Consider the following 11,215-nt stretch of genomic DNA (forward strand, 5'->3'; position numbering starts at 1 on the left):
GGTGGGTGCATAAAAGCTTTTAGGGAAAAGTATGTGGCTGGTGGCATTCATATCAGATGACACAGCGTTCCTGTCACATAGATTTAGTTCAGGTGCTTGAAATGCTCAAGAGCCAGCTCGGGGACTTGGCCTTTTGTCTGCCTCTCCTTCAATGCACTGCTTGTCACCCTGCTTGTCTCTCTGTAACCATGCCCTCCCCTGGCTTTGAAGGGGCTCCTAGAAATGACTGGAAATGAAGTCCATCTGACTCCAATGAAATGCCAAATTCATTGAGTATGAAATAGTGCCAACTTTTACTTTCTAGCACTTTGATTTTGAGTCTACAGAGGATTCTTAAGGAAAGAAGTTTATGATGAAGCCAGAGGAAGCATTCAGTAATCCAACTGGACAAGATTTACTGATCTATGAAAAGGCATCCTGATAATCCAGACTTTGGATAATCCAGACTTTGTTGCAATAGAATTGTTGAGATGAATTATACTTTGATTTTTAAGAGATCATGGTTTGGTAATGATGATGAGGATGATGTCAGTGATGATTAAGCAGTTATTATTTATTGATTCCTGGCAACAAGCTTCCTTTATGGCCTTTGCAATATAACTCCAAATTTCAGGCTCATCTCATTCTGCTTTCCTAATCCTTTATATAATATGTGAGCACACAAGTGCATGTATGTGCACCCCTCCATTCACAGCGTGTATACAAACACTTTATTTCACTTAATCTTTACAACCACCTGATAAGTTTGATACTATTAATATTCTTATTTTATGGCAAAGGAACTATAAATTTCAGAGAGGTTGGATAACTTGCCCAAAGTCACACAGCTATGTGAGTATCATAGTTCCAACTTAAGACCCCTCTGCCTGATCCTATACTTCCTTTAGTTCAGTGGTTCTCAAGAGAGGGTGATTTTTCCCATGGGGGACATATGACAATGTCCCAGTGTCCCAGTGAGATATTATCGGTTGTCATATCAAATGTATACTTACAAAGGTATATAAAATGTTCTCTGATAAAGACTAATTCAGTTTAGCTAAGTTTAAAGTGCACTTGTATGTGTGTGCATATATCTGCATGTGTTCAGAGAGGAGGGTTGAGGCATGGGATAGGATGAGGATGGAAATTACGATGGGTAGAAACCTCTCTTGTGCAAGGAAAAAGGAGCTACTGCCTCTTCTTATTTGTCTCTACACACTTGAATTTATAGTCACAGGGTCTCTATGAGGATAATTCCAGGAAAAAATATGCAAGGATGATATATACAGTCTGTCCAGCAGCGTGACTTCTCAAGTGATTTCAAGTACTGGGTATTGGACGGGCGTGCCCTCTATTACAGGAGACTTCCTTCTATACACAGGGAGGTATCTGTCTGGTATCTGGTGGGAGGAGGATAGGGAGGCTGCTTAACATCCTAACATGCAGAAGACATTCTCTGCCATAGCAAAAGATTGTCTGGCCTAAAATAGCAATAGTCCCAAGGTGAAGAAACTTTGGTTTAGCTGTACAGACAGCCACATTTGTGACTCTACTTCATAGAAAACCAGATGAAATATTTGAGTGGAGGTATAGGTATAGGAAACACATAAGAGAAAAAAAGGTCAACTTTTCCCTTGAGTTTGTGGGAAGGCATTGTGGAAGATACAGGATTTAAGCTTGGTTTTGAGAGATGTGTTGGAGAGTCGGCACTATAGATCTTTTTGGATTAAATCATTGATTGCCAGAGCTGAAGTTTCCTAGGCAAGTGATTTTCATTTAAAAAGAAGTAAAATCTTACTTGGAACTCAAATATATAAAACTGATCATAAAAATAGAGCAGCTCTGATGTGATTGAAGAGACTAAAATAAGTTACCTGCTTGGCTTTTGGCTTTTTGTTGACATCCTCTCCTCGAAGCCTCAGGTACCTGCTGTCCCAACATTATTCACATAGCACTTCCTTTCTTTTCCAGAGAATTTAGATTTGGATGATAAATTATATGTACCCACCCAATCTGTGAAGAGATCTAGTGTTCTAAAGAACATGGTTTAAAAATTAATGAATGTAATATTTTCTCCCTTTTGCAAATGAGGAACATGAATTCTTCCCTAAATATCAGAATTTTAAAACTAAATTTTCTAAAAATTAGAATTTTATAATTCCTGCTCATAACAGCAATGTTATAAAGAGAGGACTTCAGGAGTTAAGTCAGGAGACCTGAGTCCAAGCCCTTGCTCAATCATTTACTAGTTATTTGGTATTGGGTAGATCCCTGTAACATTTAGATCCTCAGTTTACCTACCAGATCCCCTCTACATTGCCCACAATGCCTAGTATCTTATCCAACAAGAGTTTCCTGAATTTAATTCCTACTCTCTGTCCCATATCCTATCATGTTTAGGCTATTAACTTCACTTTATGAATATCATTCTTGACTTCTGGGTCTGTGATTATTATTATGAAAAATTTATAGACATGGACTTTTTATCTGTATATTTCTTCATGGTCCCAGATTCTATATCCAGTTGCCTATTGAAAATCTCTAAGAGGATTTCTGGTGAGGTAACTCAAACCACGTGTCTGCAACAAAATCCTCCATCCCTGTATCTTACCATTTCCAATCTGTACCTCTCCTAGGCTTTCTCAACTCAATAATAATATCGCTATCTACCCAGTTGCTCAGGCCAAAAACCTGGGTGTCATTTTTTTCCTTCTCATTTCTTCATCCCTAAATTCAATCACACCAACACATTCTTTGGCTTGAACCCCCTGCCCCCCAAATCCCTAATTTAACCAGTTCCGATGGTCTCTACTGCTACACTGTCCAAGCCACCGTCGTATCTTGCCTGGACTCCTGAAGTGAACTCCAAACTCATCTTGTCTTCCTGCTTCCATTCTTAGCCCTAAGAGCATTCTATTTTTGACTCCACACAGTAGCTAGGATTATTATTATTTGTAAAATAACAGCATACAACATTGAACTCCTTCCTAAAATCACATCAATCCAAAGCCCTTAATATGGCCCTGAAGACTCTTCATGCCTAGTGCTTCAACCTCTTTCCTTTGATCACTAGACTTCTGTCTAAAAGGCGTTTTCTGTGTCCCTTGAAGAAGCTAAATTCATGCCTCCCTTACAGCTTTTGCAGGTGCTGTGTTTTCTGCTTGGAATTTCTTCTTCACGTAACTAGCTCTTTTTCATTGTATGGGTCTCAGTTGAAGTTTTACCTCCTCAGAAAGACTTGCCCTGAATACAGTATGTGAAGTAACTCTAACTTTCATTACTTTTTATCCCTTTACCACATTCTATTTTCCTTCTAGAATTTATCACCTTCAAAATTTTTATGAATATTTTTTGTCTGCAATCACGAGAATGTGAGCTCCATGACAGCGGGGTTTTTTTGCCTGTCTGTTCAACTTAAAATGTCCCTGGAACTTGTTGTAGGCGCTTCATCAATATTTCTTAAGTAATTTCAGATGCCCTTTCATCTATTAGTGACAAAGAGAGTCAGTTTACAGTACTAATACCGATGCAAATTATTTGTATACTAACAAAATATTAAAGCAGCTAAAACTAAAATGGTACTTGGTAGACTTATGTGGATGATAAACAAACTGAAAAAATTACATATTATTTCTGACATTAAGAAGCAAAATTGGGCCTGAGGAAAGTTAGTCTTAATGGACTTAAGCACAGTTATTAACTGAATTAACTTAATAGAGATAAATTTAACCATTTATGTTTAAGAAGTAAGAATAACTGCAGCCCCAGGAGAGTAGTCAACTTCTGTGAAGACTGGCTGGGGAGATGAGTATCTCTCAACTTAATCTACAGTAACTAACTTTGTGCCTTCTTTTTTTCTTCTTCAGTTGTCTGGGTTCATGTCTAAGCTTGTTCCAGCTATCCAGAATGCCCACAAGAATTCAACTGGATCTGGAAGAGGAAAGAAACTGATGGTGTTAACTGAACCCATTTTGATTGAGACCTACACAGGGCTGATGTCATTCATTGGAAACCGCAACAAACTTGGCTATTCCCTTGCCCGTGGGAGTATTGGTTTTTGAGAGTCTTTTTGGTACCATAAGCATATCATCCACAGATATGTCACTTTGAAAATTCCAGTTTGACCCACGCTATTTTTGGACTGAAACAATTAATTATTTTTAAATGACGCTTTATGATTTAGAAATTTAGTATTTCCGAAAATTTAAAAGCTTGATTGGACTGATAGATACACACTTTAGACCTCATACAAGAATAATCAAATTTTCTTAAAACTAGAAAATAAATGCTGCTGAGCCTATCAAATACTGTTATCAAATGAGTGCCTGATCATCAACTCAGGAAAGAAGACTCTAAGTCCTGTTGCTTCAGCTCTCTAAATGTAGGCTTTTTTTTTTTTTTTTTTTTAGGTCTTGGTCTTCAGCCCTCTTATCCTGATTTATTCTCTCATTGGGGTCTCACTGTCTCTAGTATTTTAGCTACCACTTGATAAGGATGACTTCCAAATTTATATTCCCATTCCCAATATTTATTCCAAGACTCAGTTTTGCATTTCTGACTGCTAATCATCTATATATCAGTGTCCCAGTGGCCTCTTAATTGAGCATTATCAAAATCCTGTGGTATTTATATGGTCCCAGTTATCCATCCCTGAAGTCTGTCAATTTTGATTTCTCTAAATTCCTTGCCATGACATCCTATATATGATCACATCTCTATACGGCTTAGCATTGTATTCCGATGCCCAGATGTCAAACTTGAAGCTCATTCTCTTATCAAAATTGTTCATGTATTCCTCCTTTCCATTCTTATAGCTGTATTATTAGATCAGGTTTTTAATTCTGCTCAACCAATTATTACCACAGCCTGTTAAATGGAATCCCTACTCCAAGGCTGACTGTTTCAATCTATCCTACACTTGGTTTCTAGCTCATTTACTTATACCATCTTTTGTTCAAATATATATTTTTTAATAACAGACCTTTTTCTTCTAAAGAAATCTTTTGTAGAAGCAGCATATACGAAGCAGATAAAAGTAGGTTCAATGCGGTTGGAGTGAAGATGAGAATGCCACAGGCATCTTTCTTTCTAGGCCTCAGAGGTGCTGCATATGGAATGTCCATGGATCGCAGAGGGTTTTGAAGACCATGTTTTCAAAAACACTGTCTTAACACTCTATTGTCATTGCTCTTTTCCCTCTTATTTCCTCTTTGTCTCTTCCCGACTTAGATCTAATTTTCAACAACCCAGGAAATTATCTCATATGTTTGCATCTCTCAAGTTTCTTTTCTTTTTTCTTTCAGAGTCTTATTTTATCTAAATTTATGTAGAAAAAAAAGCTTTGAATGTTGACTACATAGACATTACTACAATAAGCTTTTTGCCTTTCCCAAGACTCAAAATTGACACATCTTTGTTGATGTTTAAGTTGAAATTCCAGCCAACTTTTTTTTGACTTTTATGTGAAGTTTAAAGTCTTTTCTTTGAAAAGCTTGCTTCCTCAATTTCAAAGATTTGTCCTCTGATATATTTATAAACATCAATTTAATGCAGACATTCAAACCCTAAACCTTGAATAACTCTTATTTTATTTTGTCTTTGTTTACTTCCATTAATTTTTTTTTCTTTCCCTCTCTTCCGCCTTTACAGCACCCACTTTTTCTTCCCCCCATGATGGCAAATATTGTTATAGTCCCCAAGGCAGGGAACTTCTATTCAGACTGTAAAAGGAAATGTTGAAATCCATAGCTGTCCTGTCAACAGTAGTGGAATGAAAAGTCGTTGGATTGTTTTGGCACTGGTTCTGAAGCAGGCATAATTGGCAAATTATTATAATACTGCTGCCCGAAAATCCCCATTTGCCTCAAGATAGTGGCATTTATTGGCAGAAGCCTCTGAAATGTCCAGCACATTCTTTTGAGTTACCATTTAAGGATCAGCCTGACAATCGACTTCTCTCTGCACATTTGCCCCCTTTGTAACCTAAGCCAGACTGTTCCCAAATGACCTTCTAAAGGACACAGTGCACCATCATCAATGGAAACAGTTCAGAAAGGATGACAGGAGGGAGATGTTTCTTAGTTCTGAGAGCCAGTCTGTAACAATGGGATAAGCATTTAATGGAATCAAAGCTGTTTTGCATAAAGAGTGAACTCAGAGACGACAAGAGGGTCTTTATGAATTCCCTTCACATTTTGTAAAAACTGTCATATATAGGCTATCCCCTTAATTGATAAATGGGATCTAGAAAGCGGTATTATGACCAGAGGGTGAGAAGATTTAGGAATTTGGATAGCAGTTCAAGATAAGAAAGAACTTCTTATAGTTATAAATTTTCAATGATGGAATGGGTTGCTTCTTTAAACAGTGAGCCCACCATCACTTGGTATGTTCAAGGAAAGACTAGATAAAGTCGATATTGTGAGAGGAATTGCTGTATGATACCGTTTGGAGAAATGATTGACATAATCTTTTAAGGCCGGTGACCCTATCATTTTCCAAATAATTGTTGCTAGTACTTAGTTAATTAGACCCATTTTTTTCTTAGGAAAGAGTTGGATCAATCATGGGAGACCCTGAAAAATTTCCTTACCTTTCCTAAGGTTTAATTTCCTCTTCTGCGAAATGGAGACAATTATATTACTTTTGCTTATTTCATAAAGATCTTGTGAGGATTCAATGAAATGAGGTTAAATTCTTTTATTAAACAGAAAGTTTTGAGTATTTGCCTAGAGAGTGATGTGACTTTTGCAGCAGAAGGTGGGAAAACATCCAAGGGAACTACATTTCCTCCAGAAATTGTTTCTTCATTACCATCGACCTACTGATTATGGTTTTCTCATTTTACACTTGGTGTTCTTACTTGGGATCTTTGTCCTTAAGCTCAACAGGGAGCCACAACCCAGGGGACCTATGTGTACACTTGGAGTTTTTATCAGACTATCATTTGAACTTACCACTACAGTTTAGCAAATGGCATGATGAGTTTGATTGATAATAGGAGTAGACGCAAGATACATTAAGTAGAGTACAAAGCATTTCATAACCAAAATGTCATGGTTGGAGGTCTTCATTATTCGGTCTTTATCTCATTCAGGAATTTCCACTTGAAAAATCTCTGATAAGCTTTATTTCAGAAACTGCTTGAACAGCTCCACTGACAAATGCCTCACTATCTTCTGATACATCGTAGGCAGTTCTGAGGGTGAGAAAGTTCAAAGCAGATAGATGTTTTAACACAACAGGAGGACTTTTAAACAATCACCAGGACTCACTCCTCGGTGGTCAATTGGGCCTGTTTGGAGGCCTGACCTTTGGTCATCTTAAGGTCATCTAAGGCAGAAAAGAGAAGCTCACTTATAAGTTGGCACTTCTGAATCATTTGCCTTGAGGTCCATTTTTTATTCAGCCTTTGTTTAAACCTTCTTAGGAAGCCAGTTTGTAGAGTTCTGGGGATAAGAAGGCAGAAAAACCATGTCAATTCAGTGCTTTTATTTCACAGAAAATGAAGCAAAGGCCTAGAAACTAGAAAGACATTTCTCAAAAAGAAGATGGTGAACTTTTGGAAATACTGAGATTAGACTACATTTTCCAATTTCTATCCCTAGCCCACTGCTCTTTCCAATATAATATCTGTATTCCATGGGAAAGACATGCCATCTGAATTGATGTATCGTAGTTGTTGAGATAATTTTGAAATGAGAAAACAATAGGGCACAGTCGTTTGGGAAGAATTTCCAGAAATTGCCATCATTTTCTTAAAGGCTAAGGACACTTATAGAGCTCTCCGATTTCCTATCTGATAAAAAAAGCCCAAACAAAGCTGCGGAAGCTGGCAGAGCCAGCAGATATTTTGTAAGGCAGCTTCACCTCTGCTGGCATTTTGTGGGGCAGGAGAGGGGGAGGGCAAAGGTATTAAATTTAGGCTTAAAAGCTCCTCAGAAATTCTTTACACACAAGAGACCAAGTTGGAGAAAAGAAGATGACTTGTGCCAAGGGGAAGAAAGAGAGAGACTAATGCCTGTGGTTTTCAAAGGTTAACAACAACATAAAAAAGCCAAGGTATTTGCACAGGGATGAATGCTCATTGGCTCTTGGCCAACAATTATACAAGGGCTTGTGCCCACATCCTGTAGCTGTGGTTTAGGGACGCTGCTCATGAGTGACTTCTTATGCTTAGTGGCAGGAAACTTTAGTCACTGATGTGTAAACTCACCTTTGGTCTGCACCTCCCACAACGTGCTCCGAAAGCAGTTAGGGGACTAGGCCTCTTGATTTCCTTGTAGATACCAGTTCCCCAGAAGCTAAGGAAAAACTCTGAGGCCTTGGAGTTACTGAGAGTGGACCAATACTTGTCTTATTCTACCTGATTTTGGCAACTGCTTAGGGTTCTTCTGTATCCACAAAAAGGAATTATGATATCCTCTGCTAAACCCTCTCTTTAGCCTCAAAGCCCAAGACCAAAAAAAATGAGCCATATTTCATTGCAGGCCTGCTGCCAATGTGAAATATAAGGAATAAAGTCATGAGACTGCTTCTCAACCTAGACCTTGTATCTCGTGTGCTATTTTATATTCGATTTTAAAAAGCTCTTAGTAAATATCTCAGTCCCCTTTTCAGTGAAGCCAAATGGAATTTGCAAGCCCAGTTTAATTAACTCCTACGTTTTTAAGGTAGATATGACAGATCATGATATATTGTGGATGCGTTGAGATCAAGTGTTCTGAACCACCAACTTGTCTGTCGTGTCCTGCCCATAATGCTTACCCCATGCATCTCAGAAATTCCTTTTCCTTTTTTAATATTGTCTGAGCACTCTTCACGGAATCTGAGATTAGAAAGGATCTTAAAGGTCATGTAGTTTAGCCTCCTTTGGTTGAGGTTGCAGGAATGCCCTCAACCAGAGCATGCACAGCAGATGGAAAATCAGCTTCTGTGTGAACATTCCAAGAGCCCAGAACTCCTTGCTTTCTAAAGCAGTTAATTCCACTACTGAGCAACAGCAACAAGTAGAAGGTTTTTCTGGACATTGCACCCAAACCTCTCTCCTTGGAAATGTATAGATTTGATGCTAGATATTCCTTTGAAGGTATCCCAAATAAATTAATTTCCTAGTTCACATATTCACACTTTCTATAAAGGCAGGTGCTCTCCTAAAAGGTAGTGACAGTAGTTTTATTTTTGTATTTAGAGACAAAACTCCAGTGAGCACAATCATTTTTAAATATGATGCATTATCCAGAGTCCTTATCGAGCTTGTCTCTTCTTTGTAGACTATTCTGTTTGGTAAACACTTCTTTTAAAATATTATATTCAACACTTGTCTTGGCAGTTCATATATAGATTAATCAGTGCAAATTAGAATGGAGTTGTTCTTTATTTGCCACTATACTGTTATTAATAAAATCCAGGTTTCTTCTATCACACTGTTTGTTCACATGAAATGTATGAATAACTTCATACTATAATATAATATATAACTCCTTTCCTGATTGGGTAAATTCATTGAAAGCACAAATGAGACCACTTTAGCATAGATTACTTTTACTGAAATTGTGTTAGTTCTGAGTAATTACTGTTTTCTTTTCTAACTTTTAAATTTATTTTCTAAATTATTTGTTTAACACTTTACCATATAATTTTGCCTAAGTCACTGTTAAATTTACTCTTCTCTAGCATCTGGCAACCACCAGTGTTTTTAAATGAGTTTTTTTCTGTCTTCAGTCTAGAGGACAAGGTGGGCATAATTATCGTGATGGACAGCAGAGCCAAAGCAGTAAACAGATGGTTTGATCCACGGAGTTCTTTGGAATTAGTTAGTTGATCATGGCGTCCCTAGAACAAAAATAGATGGACAGCCTACTTAAGTCTTATTTAACCTGTGGAAACAGAAGTGATTTGAAGTCCGACTTGAGTCAGCACCTGCCACTCCAGGAAACCCCCATCCTGATTGAACTTAGGGATCTCAATTTAATGGCAGCAGTTTCCACTGTCATGCTTGCCCGCAGAGAATGGCCACCATGGAACTATTCAAGAATAGTAGGATTTCCTTCAGAAATGTGTTTCTGGTCTTGGGGTTGAAAGCGTCTTTGGAACTTCCTAGGGGACATAGAGGCTAAGTGAAAAGGTTGTACACAATAAAACCACTTTTGCATCCTGAGCTCCCCAAACCTTTAGAAGCCTTCCTCTGGCATTTCAAGTTCATTAATGTATACTTTCTTTAGGTTGATAATTGAGTTAACAAAGCAAACTATTAGAGCCACTCTTAGTGTCCCAAATACATTGGATCAAGAATCCTGGCCTGGTCCACTCTAATCAATAAATTCTTCATGTTCCAACATTATGCTTCTGATCTGATAACCTTGGAATCAGTGCCCATACATGTTCTTCCTCTATAGATATAAGTTGGCAAAGCCTTACAATTATTTTGGAATTTATTTTACTCTCTCATGAATCACACTTGTTCACTTACTTTTTAGGAGTCAAATCTGTTTATAAGTTTAGAAACAATGCAAAATGAGGATAAATTATCATACATTTAATCAGATGCTGACTCCAACTACAGCTATTGATCTAGATGTGGTTTTGTTGCTTGAGTCAAACAATACATTCCTTGGCACCTGGTATGCAGTTATTGATCTTGAATTTCTTTTTCTTTTTCTTTTCTAATCTGTTATTAAGATTATGAAAAGCAGTTTGCTTTCAGCTTGTAGAGCCAGCAATATACTCAGGGTTACTATATCAACCTTCTAACCTTATGTCATATTCTAGTCAACAAGGATCTTGAACACCTCTCTGTTCTATAAGACATCATGCTGGTCCATTTCATTGATGACATCATGTTGATTAAACCAGGAAAGCAGGAAGTAGTAACTGTTCTAACACTTGTATAAAACATGTGCAAGGAAATGTATTGCCTCAAAATTCTTTTCTTTGTCACCAAAAAGTCACATCAGTAACTTTTGTAAAGGATCAGTGGTCTGGGGCATGTCAATATACACATCCTAAGGTAAATGGTAAATTGCTCCCCTACATGACTAACTTTCTTAGTTAACCCCTCAATACTTAATGGGGTTCTTTAGATGTGAAAGTAACATATATCTCATTTGGGTCTGCTACTTGAATATATTGACAAAATAATCCAAAAGGCTGCCAATTTTGAGTGGGGCACAGAATAGGAAAAGAATCTGAAACAGGTCCAGGCTACCATGCAATCTGCCTTACCACTTGGGCTGTA

At 37.6% G+C, this 11,215-nt stretch overlaps 1 protein-coding gene across 21 annotated transcripts in view, besides 1 other annotated feature; it reads left to right on the top strand.

Moving 5' to 3' along the window:
• Positions 1-8,524, top strand: part of TPRG1 (tumor protein p63 regulated 1) — a 328,078-nt gene extending 319,554 nt beyond the window's left edge. For all 21 annotated transcript variants that reach the window (XM_047448032.1, XM_047448034.1, XM_047448028.1 and 18 more), the window contains one exon: positions 3,846-8,524. In XM_047448032.1, coding sequence (XP_047303988.1) covers positions 3,846-4,040 — 195 coding nt within the window. In that variant the 3' untranslated portion in view covers positions 4,041-8,524. The remainder of the gene's footprint in view (positions 1-3,845) is intronic.
• Positions 7,286-8,485: an enhancer, noted in NCBI's record as "MED14-independent group 3 enhancer chr3:189041855-189043054 (GRCh37/hg19 assembly coordinates)". NCBI's record gives its function as "activates an origin of replication core promoter dependent on BRD2, BRD4, P300/CBP and CDK7 cofactors, and independent of MED14, by STARR-seq in HCT116 cells {active_cell/tissue: HCT116}" and the evidence as "EXISTENCE:reporter gene assay evidence [ECO:0000049][PMID:35650434]".

The sequence above is a fragment of the Homo sapiens genome, chromosome 3 (genome assembly GCF_000001405.40).
Source record: "Homo sapiens chromosome 3, GRCh38.p14 Primary Assembly".
NCBI classification, from domain to species: domain Eukaryota; kingdom Metazoa; phylum Chordata; class Mammalia; order Primates; family Hominidae; genus Homo; species Homo sapiens.